At 51.4% G+C, this 13,904-nt stretch overlaps 1 protein-coding gene across 6 annotated transcripts in view; it reads left to right on the top strand.

The window, feature by feature from the left end:
- The window catches only part of SLC6A13 (solute carrier family 6 member 13), a 42,215-nt gene that overhangs the window by 27,217 nt on the left and 1,094 nt on the right, over positions 1-13,904 (top strand). For 5 of the 6 annotated variants that reach the window (NM_001190997.3, NM_016615.5, XM_047429420.1 and 2 more), the window contains 7 exons: positions 396-530; positions 7,952-8,055; positions 9,106-9,230; positions 11,107-11,219; positions 11,491-11,628; positions 12,386-12,488; positions 12,988-13,088. In NM_001190997.3, the coding sequence (NP_001177926.1) occupies positions 396-530; positions 7,952-8,055; positions 9,106-9,230; positions 11,107-11,219; positions 11,491-11,628; positions 12,386-12,488; positions 12,988-13,088 (819 nt within the window). Of the gene's footprint in view, positions 1-395; positions 531-7,951; positions 8,056-8,875; positions 8,968-9,105; positions 9,231-11,106; positions 11,220-11,490; positions 11,629-12,385; positions 12,489-12,987; positions 13,089-13,904 lie in introns of all 6 variants that reach the window. The other variant, XM_017019842.2, reaches the window with a different exon arrangement.

Raw genomic sequence — 13,904 nt, 5'->3', positions numbered from 1 at the left:
AACATACGTGTTTTACAATCAATTTGTACAGTTAATACAATTATCACGGTGGTCTTGAGGTGAGGTGATGTACATCCTCAGCTTATGAAGATAACAGGATTAAGAGATTAAAGTAAAGACAGGCATAAGAAATTATAAAAGTATTATTTGGAAACTGATAAGTGTCCATTAAATTTTCACAATTAATGTTCCTCTGCCGTGGCTCCAGCCAGTCCCTCCATTCGGGGTCCCTAACTTCCTGCAACAGAACTAAACAGCTGTGGATGAGCTGGGAGCAGGAGGAACACTCCCTTGACCTTTTCTGAGGAGCTCTTGCCCCTGCCTCCTGCCCCTGCCTCCTGCCCCTGCTGCTTCCTCACTCACAAGCTCCTTGTCTCTCATTTGCCCATGACCAGGTGGTGTACTTCACGGCCACATTTCCTTACCTCATGCTGGTGGTCCTGTTAATTCGAGGGGTGACGTTGCCTGGGGCAGCCCAAGGAATTCAGTTTTACCTGTACCCAAACCTCACGCGTCTGTGGGATCCCCAGGTAAGAAGCCACAGACAGGAGCCCTCACGTGACTCCCAGGGCAACTGAGCTTCAGGCTTTCCCTGCACTCTGACGGGGAACCCCCGCACCTAGCACTACCCTAGGGTGTCCACAGTGGCAGCAGAGGTGCACCCTTCCTTCTCTAGACATCTGTTTGTTGCCGGAAAGGGGTCTCAATCCAGACCCCAAGAGAGGGTTCTTGGACCTCTCACAAGAAGGAATTTGGGGGGAGTAGAATAAAGCAAAAGCAAGCTTATTAAGAAAGTAAAGGAGGCCAGGCACAGTGGCTCATGCCTGTAATCCCAGCACTTTGGGAGGCCGAAGTGGGTGGATCATTTGATGTCAGGAATTCGAGACCAGTCTGGCCAACATAGTGAAACCCCACCTCTACTAAAAATACAAAAATTAGCCGGGTGTAGTGGCACGCACCTGTAGTCCCAGCTACTCAGGAGGCTGAGGCAGGAGAATGGCATGAACCCAGGAGGCGAAGGTTGCAGTGAGCTGAGATCGCGCCACTGCACTCTAGCCTGGGCAACAGAGTGAGACTCTGTCTCTAAAATAAAATAAAATGAAATAAAATAAAATAAAATGAAATAAAATAAAATAAAATGAAATAAAGGAATGAAGAATGGCTACTCCATAGGCAGGGCAGCCCCAGGGCTACTGGTTGCCCATTTTTATGGTTATTTCTTGATTATATGCTAAATAAGGGGCGGATTATTCATTAGTTTCCTGGAAAGGTGTGGGCAATTCCCATAACTGAGGGTTCCCTCCCATTTTAGACCATAGAGGTTAACTTCCTGACGTTGCCATGGCATTTGTAAACTGTCATGGAGCTGGTGGGAGTGTCTTTCAGCATGCTAATGCATAATAATTTACATATAATTGGTGGTGAGGCCCTGAAGTGTGGTTACCCGGTTATGCCCTGCCTCTGCCTCCTGGGCGCAGAGACCATCCTGCCGGGGGAGTGAGCGTGCAACCTAGAGCTCCTCCTCTAGGACCAGAGTTCACTTCTGTTGCCATCTTGGTTTTGACGGGTTTTGGCCAGCTTCTTTACTGAAACCTGTTTTATCAGCAAGGTCTTTATGACTGGTATCTTGTGAGGTGACGACCTCCTGTCTCATCCTGTGACTTAGAATGCCTTACCTCCTGGGAATGCAGCCCCAGTGGGTCTCAGCTTTATTTTACCCAGCCCCTATTCAAGCTGGAGCCGCTGTGGTTCAAATGCCTCTGACATGTTAGCAGCTGTTTGTGGTCATAAGGTGTCTGACACTGTCCCTTCTTGGGTTCACAGCTGCCAGGGAACCCAGGCAAATATCACTAGGGTAGTATTTCTAGTAATATCTCTCAAGGGCCATAAGTGTCACTCACAGTCCTTACTCAAGGGTGTCCTTCTCCCCTCCTCTCCCCACCCGCTTCGTACATTTATCTCTTGGGAGCTCATCTCCTACTGAGCTTCCTCTTTAATTCTTACCCCTCAATCTGCCTCCTGGTTCCCTCCCTCTGCCCATGTGACCCATGTCTAGGCCGCAGCTCCCTGGCCCTGCCCTCAGCCAGCTGGGCTAGTGTTAAGTTTCCCTGTCAGTTGTCCAGAGGCTCCGGGTCTCCTCCCCACCCTTCCTTCGTGGTCTGCACTCCCTCTACTACAGCGGGCTTTTTTACCGTCCGGGTAGGGAGGGGTGGTGTTGCCTGCTGCCTGAAGGGGGTTGGAAAGCAAGGCCTGGAATGGGCAGGCCCTGCCTCTGACAGGTCTCTTACCTTCCCCTCTTTGGCAGCCATCTGAAAGCTGGCAAAGCCAGGAGGTGTCGAGGGCCGGAGGGGTGCGTGGGTAAGCTCCGCCCCAGAGGCCCTGAAGTGTTGTTACCCGGTTATGCCCTGCCTCTGCCTCCTGGGTGCAGAGACCACCCTGCCGGGGGAGTGAGTGTGCAACCTAGAGCTCCTCCTCTTGTTGCTGGAGTCTCTCCATGTCTATGAAAGAAGCCCCAAGGAGACATAAGGGCGGGTGGCTCCCAGCACGTGGAAGACACACTGGGATGGCTTTCCAAACGTTTAAAATAGTCGGGCACCAGCATATTCACTGATGTTGCTGACAGGGAGCAAGAGAGGCGACAGGCACACTGAGGCTGGGAGCTCTGTGCACACAGGGGCAATGACTCCCCCTGGGGCAGAATGTCAGGCTATCCGGAAGCCAAACTGTCCTCAGGTCTCCTGGCCACTCTGGCCAGGTTTTGATTCTTTCATCCTGAGCTCTGCTGGGACGCTGTGGCTTCCAGAAGCAGACAGACCATGGCTATTCAGAAACCTCCCTGCAGAGTCAAGTAGCCCTGGTCCTGAGTGTTTCTCAATAACCTTCTGGTGGGATAGGAGCTTATCCTTCCCTTCTCCCATTTCTCAGACAGCATGGAGATACAGATTGCTACTGCCTCATGTCCACGCAGGGTACGAGGGCAGCGGTCAGGCTTTGGAGCCAAACTGTAGAAGCACAACCAGGGTCCTAGAAGGATTCCAGTGCACGTTCCTCATTGTAAGATGAGCACACTGTGGCCTAAGGTTGTGCAGCCAGTAATTATGGCAGACCAGGCAAAGGGTATCTTTGTTTTGTGAATCATAAGCCCTTTGACTTATCTGGGACCACAGGGTTGTGATGGATGGTAGGTGGCGAGCAGGAGTTGTAGGGGGAAGCTGAGTGGAGGGGAGGCTTTGAAGCCGGGTGAAGAGTTTGGCTTGGATTCCCCACACAAGAGAAAGCCACTGTGGTTCTGGAGGGGCAGAGTTGAGAACCAGTGGCTAAGCTACAAAGATCACCTTTGTCTGCGGGTAGGCCGGAGAGGAAGGAGGCATGATCAGGAAAGGTGACAGGCAGGTAGGCTGGCAGAGAAAAAGGACAGAGGGTCTTAGTGTTTCCACAACAGATTCATGGCTTTGTCCTGATCAGCTATTTGTAGCTAACAACTAGGGCGTGCTTACTCTGTCCCTGACATTGTTAAGAGGCTTACATGCATTATTTCAGCAAACGCTCACAGCAGATCAACAAGGCATCCCCATTTTATAGATTAGGACATTAAGGCCTAGAGAGCTTAATGCATGTTTTCATCCTCACATCTGCAACTGGGACTGGGTCTGAATGATGACGAATCCCATGCACTTTATGATCCACTCTTGGAGACGAGGTCCCTGGCCACTCACCTTTGTTTCTCTCACAGCTTATTCATTCAGCAAAAACCTGAGTGAATCTACTATGAGCACCTACTATGTGCCGGATCTGTTCCAGGTGCCATGTTTGGTATATAACAGCTTCCAGAAAACATAAAGAAGGTGGACCAGGTAGCTTTCAACTTCTGAGCATTAATGAGGCCATAAGTCTCTGTCTGGGTGACTGCAGGGACAAAGACCTCTTTCAGTCTCTACTCTGGGATACCATTCTTTCCATTCCAGCCAGCTTTGGGCTGTGCAGGGAGCATCTGTGTTCCAAGTGCTTTGGGGCTGTGGGGAGGGGGATGGCTCAAGTGCCAGGACTGGTCCTGAGCAGCCTTCTTCTCTGCCTGGTCCAAGTCTCATGCTGAAGCTAGGCCTTTGTTGTCAGTGAACAAAGCAGCACCTGCAGGGTGGGGGTGCTTTGCCAGAGCCCTAATTGAATCTAGTTGGCACTCCCCAGGAAGTGTGATCATTCTAACTGGCATTCGCCTGGCACTTGAGAAGGGTGCAAAATGTCTTCTCCCCGACACAGACCAAAGACGCATCTCTCTGCCAAGCACTGAGGCCGGTTGTGGGGAGCCAGGCAGAGACAACGCTGTGCTCCCCTCTCGTTTGCTCCCCTTTTTCTGCCAGGCTCGCTGTTTGAGGGGCAGGTTGCTGCCTTTCCCGGTATCCCCAGGCCTTGTCTCCTCCCCCTGGGGACTGGCCACTGGAGACCCAGGGCTCTGCTGGAGCGTGTGCTTTACTCAGACCACTTGTTTCTTTCCCGGGTCCTGGCCCTGTGCCTGTTCTACTGCACTTTAGGAGGTTGCTGAGGGCGGGGGATGGGAGGAGGACATCCAAAGAACCCTCGTGGAAGCTTTTAGATCCCTGCGTTAAGCAAGTCTAAGGAAAGGTTTGTTTAGGGAGGAAGCTGAAATCACCGATTAGAACTAGTCTTTATTTTAGTATTGAAATCCAATCTATGCCACCTCATTATCAATGAAAGATGAGTTGCTTTTTAAAATAATAGCAGCAGTAAACAGTGGCCAAAGCTAACCTTATTATGTCCCTCTTATTCGCCAGGCCCTTTGCTGAGTGCTTGACACAGTTCAACCCTGTGAGTTTGGGGTCAGCCTCATCTTACGGATGGAGAAACAGAAGCTTAGGAAACTTAAGAAACTTGCCCCGAATCACAAAACCAGCATGTGGGGGAGCGTGGGTTTTATCTCAAGCAGTCTTTTGATGACTGCTGTCTTATTTACCATGATAGTTCCCAAAGAATATGAATTACTTGAGAGTTTTAAGAGCTGCTTTTTATTATTCCAGAAGGTGAGATAGGAAACTAATATTTATTTATGTGTTAGGCATTTTACATGCATTATTTTATTTGTTATTATACCCATTTTCCTGATGAGAAAAGGGAGGTTCAGGGAGGTTAAGTGACTTGCCTAAGATCGCACAGCCAGTAATTAATAAGGTCAGGAATTGAGCCCAGATTAATGTAACTTCAAAGCTGTGCTTTTCCATTACACAACATTGCCTTCCTAAAAATAGTAGATAGATATTAATAATCCTGGGGGTTGGACTTGAGGCTGAAAACATCTTTCCCAGATCTTCTAGAGTCCCCTCTCCTCCTCCTTCCCCCCAAGACCTCTTTTACCTGCGTTCCACCCAGAATTTTTTACACTTATTTTTCCCTTGGTCGGCCTTCTGCCCTAGCCAGAGACAAATCAGAGCTTTATTCCAGAAACCAGGGCTCGTGGAGTGGGCAGGGAGTGGTCGCCTGTGGTGGGAATGGAACAGCTTGCTCTGACCCCGTTCTCTTCCCCATCCCAGCAGGCCTGTTGGGCAGCAGCTGTGTGGGGAGCTGGGGCTTGCCAAGCTCCCAGCGAGGGGGCTTTGGTCAAAGAAGAGTGCATTGACCCTTGCGCTCTGGGTTCTCAGCCTCCTGCCGCATTTTCCTTAGTTCTCATTAACCTCTCCCCCAATTCAGTCTCCATATGACCCCACTCCGACCTCCCACCCCTGCCGAGGCGAGGTAAATGGCCAAGTCACGATTTCTCTTATTATTCCTTCCCAAGCACAAGTTCACAAAGATGCCCGTATCAGGCTTGTGCCTCTGAATGTGTGTGGGCAGCCGCGGCGTGTTTCCTTGGTAATTCATGGCCCAGTCTGCACCCAGCGCACCGTCAGGCCTGGGAGCAAATGTCCAAGGCGCGAGGACTCCGGGCTCCCGGGACACACCCTGAATGACCTTTTTGGGAGGGGGCGCCCGACCTCATGAAGGGGCAGTACCCGTGGGTCCCAGGAGACGTGCATTGGTCCTGAGCCCTTACACCTCTGACCCTGGGGAAGCACTTTCTCTATAAGCTCAGGGCCTTTTGCCAGAAGGTCCTGCTCTTGAAGCTGCCAGTAACTTAGCCAGTGAAGCAGGAATGAGATAGAACCGAGTGACTTTCATGCCAACGTCAGTGAGTTTTCCTGAGATGACTATCTTTGCAGGAGCTGTGTGGCAGAGTTTTAGAAGAGAAAAAAGGATTTAGAACATCTTGAAGGAGCAAACAGACTGGCCAAGGCATCTCCTCAAAATTGGTGTGGCATCACACTGAAACTTTTCTTTTTTTAAACGGGGAGAAGTGAGACACTGCAGTTTGCAAACACCCCCTTGCCTGTCCCAGGGTCTGTCCTTCATTCCCTGTCCTTTTCTTGCATTTCATTCCCAGCATTTCCTGCTCTGTGTGATTTCCTCCCTGGCTCCAGCCCCTCCAAATCCTCCTCTGTGCTTCTTGCTGCTCACCCCTTGTCCCTGGTGGCACCTCCTGCCTCACAGACCACCTCAGGACAGGATTCCCAGTGAACTCAAGAATGGGAGGCTGGAGACATTTTCCCCTTTCCCCACCGTCTTCCTTGCTCTGTCCCTGGCCCTGCAGAATGGAGACATGATGAGAGGATGGGTGCCCTGGGTGCACCCCTGATGCAGGGGCCATAGGACAGCATCCCATACCTGGTGACCATTAGGATCACCCAGGAAGCTCGGAAAAGCATACGAGTTCTGGGTTCTCCTTCAGGCCTAGGGATTCAGTGTCTTGACTGGGGATGCTGGCTGAGGAATCAGCGTGATTCTGAGGTGGTCAGCCTGCTGATGGATCCCTCAGGCCTCTACACTGCTGAGAAATGTGGCCACTTTGGTAGGGGTGAGCGTGAAAGGAGGGAGCAAGGGGTAGGGGCTGAGGGTGGTGACCATGCCTAGGGAGGCAGGCAAAGACCAGGAAGGGACTGAGGAATTGGAGGCCTGATATTAGCGGAAGAGAGTGATGAAAGGATAGAGGGTTTTGTGGAAAGCAGGGGCCTGCTTGGGGGGGTTCTGGAATGAGGCTGAGCAAAAGACATGGACGGGTCATCCGGCGCCCTTTCCATTAGGAACACAGACACATGAGGAACACCTGCTTGGATGTCTGCGTCCATAGCGGGGTGCTCCCTGGTTGTGCTCACGTCGCCAGGGGCAGGAGCTCCTGGGGAGGGTCCTGCAGATCTGCAGGGTCGCTCGGTCCTGTTGCCTTGATGTTTTTTCTGTCTGGGATGTTATTCTAGCTGTTAGATCTAAATCATAACATGCACGGGCTGGGCGAGCCAGCTGAGATAATAACAATAACAACTGAACTCTATGTTTAGCTGGACTGTGATTTTTTTCCCTCCCAAGGAGTACAAAGCCCTTTTCAGAGGTGTTTCTGTTCGTCCTTTTGCCTTTTTGTGAGCCGAGAATTACTCTCCCTGTCTTTAGACAGAGGTTGCTGAGACGTGAGGGGCAAAGCTACATACTGGTGGTGGCCCTGCTATTAGGGACAGTGTTCCTGGAGACCCTGTGCCTGGATTCCTCCACACTGGTCATAGGAGAGAGTGGGGGCAGAACCTAGGATCAAAAACCTGACAGGAGACCTAGCTTCATTCTAGAGCCCTGTCCCACCCTCCTACACGCTTCCACCATGGGTCTTTTAGTCTTTTTCATTTTCTTTGAATGCCTAATGCCTGTTCTATCCTAGTAGTGCCCAAGAAACTTCACCTAGGAGTCCAGGGAGTAGAGCCCACTGGGGTGAGCAGAGGTAGCAGGATGCAAGTGTTGGCTGAGAACAGGTTTCTCGCCATCCCTAGCCAGTGTCTGGCTCAGCCACATGCCTGTGTCCGCCCATGGCTTGAATGGCCTGGCTTTCCTGGGAGTTCACCTTTCTTGCCCTTCCCCTTTGTAGGTGTGGATGGATGCAGGCACCCAGATATTCTTCTCCTTCGCCATCTGTCTTGGGTGCCTGACAGCCCTGGGCAGCTACAACAAGTACCACAACAACTGCTACAGGTGATTGGGGGCGTGGGGCCTGAGCCACACACCTGCATCTCTCTACTGTCCTTCCAGCCACGCTAGACGAGGGTGAGTTGGAGGGTGCATCAGCTCCTGGATCTGCCCCCCTGTCTACACCCCCATATCCAACACCCCAGGGCTACCAGGAGCTGCAAGGAGCCAACTGCAAGATGGACAGAGAATTGCATCCGAAAGGGTGGGATAGTTGTGATTGGCTGGGAGACCACAGCAGGGGTGCCTGGCCTCCTGGCTGATGTAGAGGTTAGTGGGCTCAGGAGTGCTGGGTAAGCAAGCCTGAGAAGCACCACAGGTCTTTGAATAATGTCGTTTCCTTATAACTTTGATGAGAGAAAAAAAACTGGTTTCATTATAGGTTGTTTTGCTTAAAATGGCAATTTGCGAGAATGTATCCATGATGTGAAGTGAGGTCCTACTGTGCACCCCAGTCTTGCTTGCTTGGTAAATCTGCCCCCAAAACTTTGAATCCTTGCCCCTTTTTCACACCATCTCCCTCACTTCACATCCTGTCCCCCTCGTTCTCTCCTTGCCTACCTGGTTTGTGCTCAGAAAATTTAAGCCAATTTTAATACACGCTGAAACACAGCTGAAGTGAAATCATATGGTGCCTCTCAAAATTGAATTCAGGCGACTAAGAGTTATTTGTTGTTTGGGATTACCCATTAGCATGCCAGATGGGATGATGGCAGAGTGGTGGCGTCCCATGCGGTGTGGACCTACGTGGTAGAGAGGGGCGGCTGTGTGGCGGTTTGTCACATCTAGATCCATGTTTTGCTTCCCTGGAGCCGCATTCTTTTAGGACTACCTTGATTTATTCCGTCCCTGGGCTGGTGGGGCCGAGGAGTGTCGGAGGAGAGCCAGTGCTTTGCGTGGTCCTCTGAATTCTGCCAGGTAGCCCTGCTCCGGCGTCCGTGAAGGGGCCAGGACAGTGTCCGCCAGGAGGGGCTGTGCTCCCAGACAGGAAGCAGGAGAGGTTGCAGCCCTGTTCTGACCCTGCCATTCCGCCCTCTCCTCACCCCTGCCCCACAGGGACTGCATCGCCCTCTGCTTCCTCAACAGCGGCACCAGCTTTGTGGCCGGCTTTGCCATCTTCTCCATCCTGGGCTTCATGTCTCAGGAGCAGGGGGTGCCCATTTCTGAGGTGGCCGAGTCAGGTGAGTGTTACTGGGGAGGCCTGGAGGCAGTGAGCCTGGTTCAAACCTCTGGCAGCAAGCGTCTAGAGGCGTTTCCATTGTGTCACCTGCACTCTGGGTGAGCTACGGCCACCATTCAGTGGATGCGTTCTGGGAAGACTTGGCGGAGAATTGAAACAGTCATTCCAGCTTTAAAGAGTAGGCCTACAGTGAACATTTTTCTTCCCATCCTTGGCTTCCAGTTCATTACCCTGGAAGCAGCCAATGTTATCTATTTCATGTTTATCCTTCCAGAAATAGTTTAGACATATATGAGAAAAAATATATATACAGACATATACATGCAATACATATTACTATTTCTATTTCTTGCCTCCTTCTTAAAAAACCAAATGATAACATATTATACACACTCTTCCGCACCTGGCCTCGTTTTGTTCACTATAAAATGAATCTCAAGGCGAAGTTTCCATCAGCAGATAGGGTTTCCCTCTTTTGTGAGTGACTGCCTTTCCACCATGCAGTGCTATTTTGCTGCTTTCAAATAACATCAAGGCCCAGGCCCCAGTCTGGATAAGCCATAAAATGTTTCTCTTGCTCACCTACTTTGCCCTGTAATAATATGATTTTTTTACCTTGGCATTCAGAAGCACGCCTGGGCCACACAGGATGCCAAGCCCTGGGCAGTGGATGTCTGTGATTCTCTTTAAGAACGATAGTGTCTCTCTCTCCCTCTTTTTTTTTTTTTTTTTAAACTGTTTGAGATAGAGTCTTGCTCTGTCACTCAGGCTGGAGTGCAGTGACATGATCTCGGCTCACTGCAACCTCCGCTTCCCGGGCTGAAGTGATTCTCATGCCTCAGCTTCCCGAGTAGCTGAGATTACAGGCATGTGCCACCACGCCCGGCTAATTTTTGTATTTTTAGTAGAGACAGGGTTTCACCTTGTTGGCCAGGCTGGTCTTGAACCTCTGGCCTCAAGTGATCCACCCACCCCAGCCTCCCAAAGTGCTGGGATTATAGGCATAAGCCGCCATGGCTGGCCCGTGTCTCACTTTCTAAGTGTTGACTGTACGCCAGGTGCTGGGCGAGGCACTCTACTCGTACCATGCAACGGAAACCTGCGGGCAGGCCCTGCACAACCCCCACCTCACCAATGTGGGAGCTGGGACTGGCAGAAGCAAAAGACCTCCGAGGTCACAGTGATGCTCTTCACTCTTCAGAGGAACTTCCCATGGGTGGACTCAGGCTTTATTACGTGCATGTTTTCCTGCCATATGAGTCAGTCGAGAGAAACATTCACGCGCCGCGAGGGCGTGTGTCAGCGGCATTCTGAAACCAGTGCCAGTGTAGTCATTGCAGGGTGACAGAAAGGGCTCCGGGCGCAGAGGTGGTAACTGGAGGCCAACTCTGGCCTTGGAGCGATTTTTTTGGTACCATCTACATTCCGTACAAATACAACGGAACATCGCGAGGAGCTGGGGCGTGATCGCTCCTCTTCCCACCAGGCCCAGCCACCTCCTTGCATTCTGCACTAGATCTGCTGCACAAACTTCTATGGCCTGCTGGCTTCTGAGCTCATTCTAGGCTTGAAACCTCAGGTCTGTGCAATAGATCTGGAGATCTGGAGTCGTTTTAGACCCACAGCCCTCTACACCTACCGTCTCTAGATTCTGTTCTTGCCAGTAAGAATACAGTGAGAGGTACCTTGGAAATGCAAGAACCAGATGGAGGTTGGGGTGGCTTCTCCTAGGTGAGGACGTGGTGGTGACAGCAACTTTGGGGTGAAGTTTCCTCTAGCCCCTGTTATTCTGTGGCCCCACGCTGGGAAGCCATGGGTCACCCACAGCCTGGAGCTGGCCCGGGCACTGGCCCGTGTTCCTCTGCTCCTTGTCGTAGGCCCTGGCCTGGCTTTCATCGCTTACCCGCGGGCTGTGGTGATGCTGCCCTTCTCTCCTCTCTGGGCCTGCTGTTTCTTCTTCATGGTCGTTCTCCTGGGACTGGATAGCCAGGTATCAAGAGGCAGCCACTCAGAGGCTGAGAGATGAGTGGGGGGGTGTGTGCTGGGGAGGAGGAGCCATGGGTGAATGTCAGAAGTGGATGCCCTTTTGGGGACACAGGAGCTTGAGGGTGAGTCCTGACCTAACCAGGCAAGGACAATAGCTCAGGGGACCTGAGACAGTGAGGCTGGCAGGGCTGATCCTGGGAGCGAGAAGCCAGCGCTCATGGACAGGGCATCTCGGGAGCTCTCCTTCCCTCCAATCCCTTTGCCCTGTCATCCAGTTTGTGTGTGTAGAAAGCCTGGTGACAGCGCTGGTGGACATGTACCCTCACGTGTTCCGCAAGAAGAACCGGAGGGAAGTCCTCATCCTTGGAGTATCTGTCGTCTCCTTCCTTGTGGGGCTGATCATGCTCACAGAGGTGAGGGCCTGGGAAGCGGGGGAAGGCTGGGGAGGAGGAGCCAAGTGACAGCTGCTACCTGTCAGTGAGGCAGATACCCTGGCTCCCGGTCAGGGCAGGTCTTCTGGGCTTCTGGACACTAGGACTCCCTCTTTTCCCCATCCCAGGAACGACAAAGTAGGCAGGTCCCTCCTCTGGCCTTTGGGCATGGACCACCCACCTCCAGGGATGGGTGAGGAGCCATTTGGCTCCACAGTAAGTGAAGAGGTATGTGGAGCATTGGATTGGGAGAAGCTGACTCTCCAGCAAGATCTGGTGATTTCCCAGGCAGCTGAACCAAGTTCTATGTACAAACTTCAAAGCGAGAAAGGGAGGCCTGGGGCTGGGTGACATTCTGTGGCATCTCAAGGGAGAAGGAGGGAGACGGAGCTTGTCAGCTTGACAGTATCAATGACAGCCCTTATCCTGATCCTTTCCCCAAAGAGTACACTCTATGTCTTGGGCTTCGTGGCCAGTGCCTAAGTGTTCTCAGATGTAATCTAACAATAGCTGTCTTATTTCATCTATATTCTGTCCCAAAAAATAATAAAAATAATTAGCGTCTCATATCCGCCTCATGCTTTATGGCTTACAAATTACTTCTCTTTTATGATCCATCTCCTGTGATCCTCACCAACTCTGCTCTGTGCCTCCACCGTGTGAAGCTAAAGGGCATAGGAGTGAATCTTTCTGTTTCCACTGGATAAACTTCTTTTTAAAATAATCTCCTCCCATGCAGGGCGGAATGTACGTGTTCCAGCTCTTTGACTACTATGCGGCCAGTGGCATGTGCCTCCTGTTCGTGGCCATCTTCGAGTCCCTCTGTGTGGCTTGGGTTTACGGTGAGTGACTCCTCCCCTAGGTCCCAGCATCCTCCTCTTGTCTAAGGGTCTTGGGGTCCTTAGACACGAAACAGACATCTACTGCTCGCACTTAACTTTTCCTGGGGCGCCTCCCTACCCAACCTCCAAAATCTTGCAAATCCTAAATTGCTACCTTTGGAAGGCCCTCCAGAAGCTGCCTTGCCCACAGTCTTGGTTATAGCTGTACCTAGACCACCTCAGGTGGGCCAGTATCCTGCCCTGTCCAAATGTTTTCAGCTTTTGACAACCTCGATAATCAGGAAGTGACTGCCTGTACCCAAGCCAAGTCCTGCTTGCTGCTGTTTATGCCTATGAATGCCAGGGAAGAGCTTTTTCCCAGCAACGACTTGAACAGACAGCTGTGATGTCATCTCTTTATGGGTCCCTGCCCATTCTGGTCTGTTTGTGGCCCCATCCTGATGTCCTGGGTGCCAAAGAATGACTTTCTCCTCCTTCCTTCTTCTTTTCTCCATGGTAGGAGCCAAGCGCTTCTACGACAACATCGAAGACATGATTGGGTACAGGCCATGGCCTCTTATCAAATACTGTTGGCTCTTCCTCACACCAGCTGTGTGCACAGTAAGATCATTTCAGGGATAAAGTCAGATGAAGGGAGGGAGAGACGGTGGCTAGCAGGGGTAGAGAAGCCGTTAGCCCTGCAATGGACTTCTCCCTAGGAACTGAAAATCATCTTAGATTTTCACTCATCCTCCTTTTGGATTCTAGAAAACTACAGCAAGATAGATTCTTCCTTTCCATTTCACAGAAGGATAAACTGAGGTCCAGAGCTGTCAGACGGTTTGACCAACACCACAGTGTGAGTCTAACGTCACAGGCCAGGACTGAAACCCGGGTGCCTTGGGCTGCTCATAAAAATGCTAATAACCACAGCAATCCTAATAGCAGCCGGTATAGAGCCCTGACTTTGTGCTGGGCACAAGGTGCTTTAACTCGTATTAAGTCATTTAATCCTCACAAGAGTCCCATAAAGGAAGTGCTGTTGTTACACTGGTGTTACAGATGAAACTGAGGTTGAAGAGGTTGTTAAGCCACTGGCCCAAGCTAGAAAGTTGCAGAGAACTGGGATTCAAACCCTGGCTCCAGAATGTGAGCCTGAAACCACAACGCGCAGCTTCCTTTGGCCTTGTCTCTTTGTGTCAGCTGTTCCCGAGCTCCCCACTGTGTGCCAGATATAACTGAGGAGCAGAGGGAGAAGGAGGCATGGCCTGTACCCTTGAGGTACTCATACCCCAAACTCACGGTGCAGGAGAGGTAGTAAATACCTCACAGCACGCAGTGGCCACATGATCACATCCTACCTGGGAGTCAGCTGCACGTAGAGGTGCCCAGGGGCACAGGGGCCCTGGAGTGACAGAGTACACTGCTGGAGGGTGT

The sequence above is a fragment of the Homo sapiens genome, chromosome 12 (assembly GCF_000001405.40).
Source record: "Homo sapiens chromosome 12, GRCh38.p14 Primary Assembly".
Classification (NCBI taxonomy): Eukaryota; Metazoa; Chordata; class Mammalia; order Primates; family Hominidae; genus Homo; species Homo sapiens.
Note: the sequence above shows the minus strand (reverse complement) of the source record. Positions and strands in the feature narration are given on the sequence as shown.